Source organism: Homo sapiens, chromosome 7, assembly GCF_000001405.40.
Source record: "Homo sapiens chromosome 7, GRCh38.p14 Primary Assembly".
NCBI lineage: Eukaryota > Metazoa > Chordata > Mammalia > Primates > Hominidae > Homo > Homo sapiens.
In genome coordinates, this window is record NC_000007.14 from 6,625,395 (window position 1) to 6,636,430 (window position 11,036).

Here is an 11,036-nt window from a genome sequence, read left to right on the forward strand (position 1 = left end):
GTGGGGGGATCACTAGAGGTCAGGAGTTTGAGACCAGCCTGGGCAACATAACAAAACCCCATCTCTACTAAAAAATAATACCACTGCACTCCAGTCTGGGAAACAGCGAGACCATTTCCCCCTCCACCCCCCAAAAATTCAGGCCAGCTGCAGCCTGGAGTGATGGTGCTGAGCTCGCCCTGCTGCACAGCCACTTGGAGGAGCATCGTGAGGCCTGGAGTCTCCTCCCAGCCCTGAGAGTCTTCATTCATTCATTCATTCATTCATTCATTGAGAGACACTAGTCTCTCTGTGTTGACCAGGCTGGAGTGCAGTGGCACAATCTTGGCTCACTGCAACCTCCACCTCCTGGGTTCAAGTGATTCTCGTGCCTCACCCTCCCGAGTAGCTGGGATTACAGGCATGCACCACCATGCCCGGCTAATTTTTGTATTACTTTTAGTAGAGACAGGGCTTTTGCCATGTTGGCCAGGCTGGTGTCAAACTCCTGACCTCAAGTAATCCATCCACCTCAGCCTCCCAAAGTGCTGGGATTACAGGCGTGAGCCACCGCGCCCAGCCTTGCTGGATGGAGCCCCTTGATGCACCTGAGAATTACCTTCCCCAGGATGACCCTGGAACCATTAAGACAGGCACAGGAGGAGAGTGCAGCCTGAGTTCTCCTGTTTTTGTTCAGGGCGGCTCTGAGGCGTGACTCATGCTCGAGTTTGCCTGTGGGATCCAATCAAAGCATCCCTTGCATATATATATATATACACACAGGGTCTTGCTCTGTTGCCCAGGCTAGAGTACAATGGCATGATCACGGCTCACTGCAGCCTCAATCTCCTGGGCTCTAGCAATCCTCCTGCCTCAGCCTCCTGAGTAGCTGGGACTACAGGTGTGCTGCTACATCTGGCTAATTTTTTTTTTTTTTTTGAGATGGAGTCTCGCTCTGTCACCCAGGCTGGAGTGCAGTGGCTCAATCTCGGCTCACTGCAATCTCCGCCTCCGAGGTTCGTGATTCTCCTGCCTCAGCCTCCTTAGTAGCTGGGATTACAGGCAGGCGCCACTGCACCCAGCTAATTTTTGTATTTTTAGTAGAGATGGGGGTTTCACCATGTTGCCCAGGCTGGCCTTGAACTCCTGACCTCAGGTGATCCACCCGCCTTGGCCTCCCAAAGTGCTGGGGTTACAGGCGTAAGCCTCCATGCCCAGCCACACCTGGCTAATTTTTGAAATTTTTTTGTAGACATGGGGGTCTCACTATGTTGCCCAGGTTGGTCTCGAACTCCTGGAATCAAGCAGTCCTCCTGCCTCGGCCTCCCAAAGCACTGGGATTAGAGGCGTGAACCACCATGCCCGGCCTCACAGGATTTTGCTGGGGGCTGCATCTCTGCTTGGTTTCCTCTCCTTCCTTGACCCGCTTCTCTTACTCCAGCACCCTCTGAGAGCATGGCCTTAATGCATCACTCACTCAGAAATCCGTGTGTTGAAGTCTGCTGCCCAGCAGCCTGCCCTGAGACCCATGGTGTAGTTCTGGCAAATGGAGTCTGGGCTGGGGCCACTCCCCCATCAGGTGGCAATAGGGACCTGTTTGTTGGGGGTGAGTGGTGGTTACCTTTGGCTGCCTTTTTTTTTTTTTTTTTTGAGACAGGGTCTCACTCTGTTGCCCAGGTTGGAGTGCAGCTACAATCATAGCTTACTGCAGCCTCCAACTCCATGGCTCAAGGGATCCTCCCATCTCAGCCTCCTGAGCAGCTCAGACTACAGGCACACACCACCATGCCTGGCTTACTTTTATTATTTTTTGTAGAGACGGGGTCTTGTCATGTTGTCCAGGCTGATCTCAAATTCCTGGGCTCAAGCAGTTCTCCCACCTCAGCCTCCCAAAGTGCTGGGATTACAGGTGCTGGGATTACACAGACCAGGAACCGCCCCTGGGCTGATGCCCCTTTTTGACATGGTGGATGGGGTTCGAGATACAATAAGTTCTGCCAATCGCCTGCCTCCCCACGGGGCACCTGGTGGGCTGGAAACACGAGGAACATCAGACAAAGGAACCCAATCCCACTTCATCAAAAACTCAAAACAGGCTGGGTGCAGTGGCTCATGCCTGTAATCCCAACACTTTGGGAGGGTGAGGTGGGAGGATCACTTGAGTTCAGGAGTTCGAGACCAGCCTGGCCAACATGGCAAAACCCCATCTCTACTAAAAATACAAAAATTAGCTGGGTGTGGTGGCGGGCACCTGTAATCCCAGCTACTCGGGAGGCTGAGGCAGGAGAATTGCTTGAACCCGGGAGGCAGAGGTTGCAGTGAGCTGAGATCGTGCCACTGCACTCCAGCCTGGACGACAGAGCAAGACTCCATCTCAAAAACAAACAGAGACAATAGGGAAAAGAGACCTTAGTATAGAACTGATAGAACTGGGTTCAATTCTGGCCAGGCGCGGTGGCTCACGCCTGTAATCCCAGCACTCTGTGAGGCCGAGGCAGGCAGATCACGAGGTCAGGAGATCGAGACCATCCTGGCCAACATGGTGAAACTCCGTCTCTACTAAAATACAAAAATAATTAGCCAGGGGTGGTGGTGCGTGCGTGTAGTCCCAGCTGCTTGGGAGGCTGAGGCAGGGGAATCACTTGAACCCCAGAGGCGGAGGTTGTAGTGAGCCGAGATCGCACCACTGCACTCCTGCCTGGCGACTGAGCAAGACTCTGTCTCAAAACAAACAAACAAATGAAACAAAACCCTGAAAACAGAGGATGCCCCCCACACCTCCCCCATGAAGGGCTCCTGGCCTTCTGCCAACAGGAGGCAGCCTAGGGAAAGAGGGAGGACAAGCGGGCCTATGTCAGCGGCTGGTCCACCTGCCATCCTGCTGCTTATGTGAGCAGGAGGAAAGAGGAGAGGTGATTGGCAGCCTGCCCCAGGGACATGGCCTGCCTGGGCCTGTGCACCCCGAGACAGCAGGAAACAGCAAGAACAAGAAAAACAGATACCCACATGGACATTGCTGCTCAGCCCAGCCAGCCACTGGCCTGTTAGTGGGCAGCTTTCCCTCCCTGGAGGGCACTGGAGGTGGCTAACAGAGGTGGGCTGGAGCACCAGAAAGGCAGCCCCTCACTTTAGCCTCAGCTTGAGCTCCTGCACCGTGCCGCTGGCTATCATGGCATCCAGGGCCTTCAGCTCATGGCATCAGGCCTGGAGTAGGGCAAGGCCCCCCCACAAGTCCCAACCATGAGGTGCAGCCTGAGAGTCACACACCAATAATCAAGGGATGACAGAAAGAGGAGTTCCCCGGCCTGCATGGGGACAGGTGGTATTTCAGCCCAGCCTGAAAGGTGACCAGAGAGGGGGATGCAGTGGTGGTAGGGGACATTTGTCTTGAGCAAGAGCCTGAGGTGGGAGCTGGGGGCAAATCCAGGGGTCTGAGTGGTCCTGTGGCTGGAATTTCTTGCCCTGGTGGGGGGTCCATGGTGGCTATGAAAGGCGTCAGGTGCTGGGGAAGGTTATGACTTGCCAAGGTGGATGGGGTGTGGCATGTGGTCCCGATGGACAGCAGGAAGCCATCCGAAGGCTGTTTAAGGGAACCAGGTGAGAGATGACAAGACTTCAAGGTGACAGAGTTAAGCTCTGGTAACTGGAATTTTTTCTTTTTTTTTTTTTGAGACAGGGTCTGACTCTGTCGCCCAGGCTGGAATGCAGTGGTGCAGTCATAGCTCACTGCAGCCTTGAACTTGGGCTCAAGCTCAAGTGATCTTCCTGTCTCTGCCTCCTGAGTAGCTGGGACTACAGGTGTGCACCACCATGCCCAGCTAATTTATTTTTATTTTTATTTTTATTTTTATTTTATTCATTTGCTTTTTTTGAGACACAGTTTTGCTCTTGTTGCCCAGGCTGGAGTGCAATGGTGCGATCTCAGCTCACCGCAACCTCCCTCTCCTGGGTTCAAGTGACTCTCCTGCCTCAGCCTCCCGAGTAGCTGGGATTAAAGGCTCCTGCCACCTCATCCCGGCTCATTTTGCATTTTTAGTAGAGACGGGGTTTCTCCATGTTGGTCAGGCTGGTCTTGAACTCCCGACCTCAGGTGATCCGCCTGCTTCAGCCTCCCAAAGTACTGAGATTACAGGCGTGAGCCACTGAGCCCGACCTCTAATTTTTTTTTTTTTTTTTTTTTTTTTGAGACGGAGTCTCACTCTGTCACCCAGGCTGGAGTACAGTGGCGCAATCTCGGCTCACTGCAAGCTCCGCCTCCCAGGTTCACGCCATTCTCCTGCCTCAGCCTCCCGAGTAGCTGGGACTACAGGCGCCCGCCACCATGCCCAGCTAATTTTTTGTATTTTTAGTAGAGACGGGGTTTCACCGTGTTAGCCAGGATGGTCTCGATCTCCTGACCTCGTGATCTGCCCACCTTGGCCTCCCAAAGTGCTGGGATTACAGGCGTGAGCCACCACGCCCGGCCCCGACCTCTAATTTTTAAATTTTTTGTAGAGGCGAGGTCTTGCTATGTTGCCCAGACTGGTCTCAAACTCCTGGGCTCAATCAATCCTCTCGCCTCAGCCCCCCACAAAGTGCTGGGATTACAGGCATGAGGCACTGCCCAATAATTCCCAGTAAATGGGAATGATTGTTCAGCAGAAAACTGATCCCTTTGGGAAAGTTAACGTGGGGAGAATGTGGCCTGGCTCTATGGTCCTTGACACCACCGTGAAAGACCAGGTCACCCTCTGCCCATTGCCCTTCCAGAAGAAGCTTGTCCTCCCTGCCCCAGCTCCGAGTCCACCACAGTCTCCCACTCAGGCAGCTGCAAGGCATGCTGGGAGTGAGTGGCCACTGGGGCTGGGGGCTGTCGGGGGCAGAAAGGAGGAGCAGATTCCTCCCTCCTGGCACCTACAAAAGTGTGTCCACCAGACAGGGCTAGATCAAGTCCAGGTCCCCGCAATGGAATGGGAAGGAGCAGGCAGCAGTGGGGTCTCAACTGCCGATGAGGAGGCATGCAGGGCTGGAAACACAGTCTTTCTATTTCCTTGAGCGGCCTTCAGCCTCCCCGGAGCCTCTTCTCCACTCAGCCTTGACCTTTGAGTGTCTGTGCCCGTCTCTGCATTGCCCAGCTGTAGCAAAAATCCTGTCAAGTCAGTTTAGCCAGAATCTCCACCCTTGGTATCTGATCAAATCCCTCCTCTCCCACCACCTGCCAGGTGCCCTCTGATCACTCTTGCCTGCCTTCAGCCAGGATCCTGGGAGTCAGTTCAACCACAACCTCCCACTCCTTCGTATTTTTCCACCCACCCACTCCCCTCCAACCTGCTCCTAGGCTGGAAGTCTCCACTTGTCCCTGCTGTATTCAGAATTGAGCCCAGTTCTATACTGAGGTCTCTTTTCCCTATTGCAATAGTTCCTGAATAAAATCTGTTTTTTACCGTTTTAACTACTGTCCAGCTTTGTTTTCTTTTTCTTTTTTTTCTTGAGACAGGGTCTCAGTCTGTCGCTCAGGCTAGAGTGCAGTGGCACCATCATAGCTCACTGCAGGCTCACCCTCCCGAGTAGCTGGAACTACAGGCTCGCACCACCATACCTGGCTAATTTTTTCTACTTTTTGTAGAGACGAAGTCTCACTATGTTGCTCAGGCTGTTCTCGAACTCCTGGGCTCAAGTGATCGATCCTCCCACCTTGGCTTCCCAAAGTGCTGGGATTACAGGAATAATATGGTTTGGATCTGTGTCCCCACCCAAATCTCATGTTCAATTGTTATTTATTTATTTTTGGAGACTGAGTCTCCCTCTGTCACCCAGGCTGGAGTGCAATGGTGTGATCTCAGCTCACTGCAACCTCCACCTCCTGGGTTCAAGAGATTCTCCTGCCTCAGCCTCCTGAGTAGCGGGGATTATAGGCACTCGCCACCACTCCTAGCTAATTTTTGTATTTTTAGTAGAGACGGGGTTTCACCAGGTTCGCCAGGCTGGACTCAAACTCCTGACCTCAGGTGATCCACCCACTTTGGCCTCCCAAAGTACCGAGATTACAGGCCTGAGCCACCATTCCTGGCCTCTCAAGTTCAACTGTAATCCCCAGTGTTAGAGGTGGGGCCTGGTGGGAGATGATTGGATTATGGGGGCAATTTCTCATGGTTTGATACCATTCCCCCTGGAGCTGTCACCACGACAGTGAGTTCTTGTGAGATCTAGTTGTTTACAAGTGTGTGGCACCCCTCCCTTCTCTCTCATTCCTCCTGCTGCCACCATTTGAAGTGCTGGCTCCCCCTTCACCTTTTGCCATGACTGTACGTTTCCTGAGGCCTCCCCAGCCATGCTTTCTGTATAGGCTGCAGAGACATGAGCCAGTGAAACCTCTTTTCTTAAATTACCTAGTCTCTGGCAGTTCTTTATAGCAATAGGAGAACCGACTAACACGAAACATGAGTCACCGCTCCCAGCCTCACCTATGGTTTTAATAGCAGCACTACTGCCTTCAGCCCACTCCAGGCACACAGAGGCTCCGTGGGGGCATCCATCAGCATCCTTCTGTGCCAGGCTCCCTGCCAGCCCCTGGTGTGAGAGCTCAGGAGGAGCCCAGGAGGGCTTCCTGCAGGAAGAGACAGCTGAGGAAGTCCCGAGAGCCGAGTGAAGGGGAGCTCTGCCCAGTCAATGTTCAGTCCCTGCAGGTGGGTCTGTGCAGATACGGGGCAGGCCCATGTACTTGAACGGAGATGCTCTCGGCCTCACAGAATTCCAAATGCCCCAGATGCCTGTTAACTTTTCACATACCCTGTGTCCCTGCCAGTGAGACACACGAAGGCTGAAGCATAGAACAAGCTTCATGCCAATCACTGGGTGGGCTGGCACCCTCCTCACTGCCAGCACCCACCGTGGAGGATGGGCAGGAGCCAGGCAGATGACACCCCAGGAACTGTTTCATGAGTATGCTTGGATATTCCCCCAGCCCCAACCCCACCAACTGCTCATAGATAGATGACTGACATGGAATTGTACTAGTGCAAAAAGGGTATGATTTACTTTTTTTTTTTTTTGAGACGGAGTCTCACTCTGTCGCCCATACTGGAGTGCAGGGGCGCGATCTCGGCTCACTGCAACCTCCGCCTCCCGGGTTCAAGCGATTCTCCTGCCTCAGTCTCCTGAGTAGCTGGGATTACAGGCACCCACCACCACGCCCAGCTAAATTTTTGTATTTTTTTTTTAGTAGAGACGGGGTTTCACCATGTTGGTCAGGCTGGTTTTCAACTCCTGACCTCAGGTGATCCACCGGCCTTGGCCTCCCAAAGTGCTGGGATTACAGGCATGAGCTACTGCGCCCCACATTATTTAATTTTTGAGATGGAGTCTCACTCTGTCACTCAGGCTGGAGTGTAATGACACAATCTCGGCTCACTGCAACCTCTGCCTCCCGGGTTCAAGCGATTCTCCTGCCTCAGCCTCCCGAGTAGCTGGGATTACAGGTGTGTGCCACCACACCTGGCTAATTTTATATTTTTAGTAGAGACAGGGTTTCTCCATGTTGGCCAGGCTGGTCTTGAAATCCTGACCTCAGATGATCCGCCCACCTTGGCCTCCCCAAGTGCTGGGATTACAGGTGTGAGCCACTGTGCCTGGCCCCTAATTTTTGTATTTTTAGTAGCAACAGGGTTTCACCATGTTAGCTAGGCTGGACTTGAACTCCTGACCTTAGGTGATCCACCTGCCTCGGCCTCCCAAAGTGCTGGGATTACAGGTGTGAGCCACTGCACCCAGCTATTTTATTTTATTTTATTATTATTTTTTTGAGACAGAATTTTGCTGTGTCGCCCAGGCTGGAGTGCAATGGCACAATCTCGGCTCACTGCAAGCTCCGCCTCCCAGGTTCACGCCATTCTCCTGCCTCAGCCTCCCCAGTAGCTGGGACTCCAGGTGCCCACCACCATGCCCGGCTAATTTTTTGTATTTTCAGTACAGACGGGTTTTCACCGTGTTAGCCAGGATGGTCTCGATCTCCTGATCTCGTGATCCATCTGCCTCAGCCTCCCAAAGTGCTGGGATTACAGGCATGAGCCACCGTGCCTGGCCTATTTTATTTTATTTTTGAGACAGAGTTTTCCTCTGTCACCCAGGCTGGAGTGCAGTGGTGTGAACATAGTTCATTGCAGCCTCAACCTCTTGGGCTCAAGCAATCCTCTCACCACAGCCTCCTGAGTAGCTGGGACTACAGGCATGCACCACCACACCCAACTAATTTTTAAATTTTTAGTAGAGTCAAGGTTTCACTATGTTGCCCAGGCTGGTCTTGAACTCCTGGGCTCAAGCTATCTTCCTGCTTCGGCCTCCCAAAGTGCTGGGATTCCAGGCGTGAGCCACTGCACCCAGCTAATTTTTAAAAATGTTGTGTAGCGACAGGGTCTTGCTATGTTGCCCAGGCTGCTCTCAAACTCCTGGCCTTAAGCTTTCCTCCTGCCTCAGCCTTCCAAAGTGCTGGGACTACAGGCATGGGCCAATCCTGGCCTGCTTTTTAATTACTTCCTTCTTCAAATGAGTCTAGGGAAATCTATCAAGACTGAGTTCAGTAGTGAGTGACAAGAAGGTCCAACTAAACTACAGTTTATGACAACCAATTGTCCCCAGGTCAGAGGCATCCTCAGGTGGCCCAGGCCTGGTCTAGCATCTCCCTAAGGCCAAGGACACATAAGTCCCACCAGCTTCCTTCGTCTCCTCTCCGTCTCCTCAGCCCCTCAGCAGTGCTGTTGGAGCAAGAAGCAAAACTCACTCGTAGGGCCCGGTGAGGTGGCTCACGCCCTTTCCTTTCCTAAAAAGGAAAGGGAAAGGAAGAAAAGGGAAGGAAGAAAGGAAGGAAGGGAAAGAAAGAAGGAAAGAAAGGAAAGGAAAAGGAAAAGGAAAAGGAAAATTATCTGTGGACGAGGGAGAGGAAGAAATTGAGTCTTGGATTAGGTATCAGGTGAGGACAGGCCAAGAGGAGATCTGAGGAGATGCTGGGGTGATTCGGGGTCCCTGCCTGACAGGGTGGAGGGATCTAAGGCCGGGATGGAGCTGCTGACTCTATTATACACACTCCTCTTCTGGGGTCCCTTGCTGTCCACATTACAGGTGGTTTTGGGCAACGGGCAGCACTGGGAAGTGACAGGGTGCAGGAGGGCAGGGTTGGGGTACTCTCTCCTTGCCACACTGTCCCTCTATAATCACAGTGCCCACAGTGTCCCCATCTTTATATCTCCACCTCCCTCCAGGCTTGACAACATCCTGCCCTTTCCTGCTCCTGCAGGGCTAAGGGTGGCAAAGGCCTGGTGCCTTCACATTCCAGCTGCTTCCCTTTACCTGGTGTATTAGTCCATTTTCATGCTGCTGTAAAGAACTGCCCAAGACCGGGAAACTTATAAAAGGAAAGAGGTTTAACTCACAGTGGCTCTTGCCTGTAATCCCAGCACTTTGGGAGGCCGAGGCGGGCGGATCACGAGGTCAGGAGTTCGAGACCAGCCTGACCAACACGGTGAAACCCCATCTCAACTAAAAATACAAAAATTAGCCAGGCGTGGTAGTGCACACCTGTAATCCCAGCTACTTGGGAGGCTGAGGCAGGAGAATCACTTGAACCTGGGAGGTTGACGTTGCAGTGAGCAGAGATTGTGCCACTGCACTCCAGCTTGGGCAACAGAGTGCGAGACTCCATCTCAAGAAAAAAACAAAAACAAAACAAACCACCACCACCACCACCAACCACCACCAACCACCACCACCACCAAAAACTGACTCACAGTTCCGCATGACTGGGGAGGCCTCAGGAAATTTACAATCATGGTGGAAGGGGAAGCAAACACTTCCTTCTTCACATGATGGCAGGAAGGAGAAGTGTGGAGCAAAGGGGAAAAGCCCCTTACAAAACCATCAGATCTCATGAGAACTCACTAACATGAGAACAGCATGAGGCGAACTGCCCCCATGATTTAATTACCTCCCACCGGGTCCCTTCCACAACATGTGGGGATCATGAGAACTACAATTCAAGACGAGATTTCAGTGGGGACACAGCCAAACCACATCACCTGGTGACACTGCTTTTGGTCAATTGTTAATTGTCCTACAGTCAGAGCCCTTCCTGGGAGTGCCTGGGGGCAATTGCACCTTCCTACTGAACCTGACGGATCAGGTAGGGTGGGGAAGGGTCTAATCTAGGGATTAGGGGTTCTAAAAGATACCCACAGGAGAGTCAGGCAGTGTCATTCAGATGTGGGCCTGGAGGAAAGGGACAGGGAGTGGTGGGCACTGAGGACCATGGCCACGCTCAGTCCCACCCACAGAAGCTGGTTACTTCTCAGGCCCTACTGGCTGGTGCCCTGCAAACCAGGGGCCTTGTGTTGCCAGAACTTCTGATTTTTCAGATTTTATTTATTATTAGAGACAGGGTTTCAATCTGTTGCCCAGGCTGGAGTGGAGTGGTGCTATCATAGCTCACTGCAGCCTCAACCTCCTGGGCTCAAGCAATCCTCCCACCTTGTTTTCCCAAAGTGCTGGGATTACAGGTGTGACCCGCCTCGGCCCCCCAGAGTGCTTAATTTATAGGTGTGAGACCCCGCATTAGAACCTGATTTTTCAATTTTATTTTTTAAACAAGAATGGGACTCCTTATTTTAAAATGTTATTAACTTTAAGACATTTTAAGACACCAAGAGCCAAGCGACATCACTGTGAGGGTCTGATTCAAGGGGTTGGGGCTGCACCCCTCTGTGGGACTAAGGTTTGAGTCCTCCTCTATCTTATTATTATTTTGAGACAGAGTCTCACCTTGTCGCCCAGGCTGGCGTGCAGTGGTGTGATCTCGGCTCACTGCACCCTCTGCCTCCCGGCTTCAAACGATTCTCCTGCCTCAGCCTCCCAAGCAGCTGGGACTACAGGGGTGCGCTACCACGGCCGGCTAATTTTTGTATTTTTAGTAGAGATGGGGTTTCACCCACCATGTTAGCCAAGCTAGTCTCGAACTCCTGACCTCGTGATCCGCCCGCCAAGACCTCCCAAAGTGCTAGGATTACAGACACCGTGCCTGGCCGAGTCCTCCT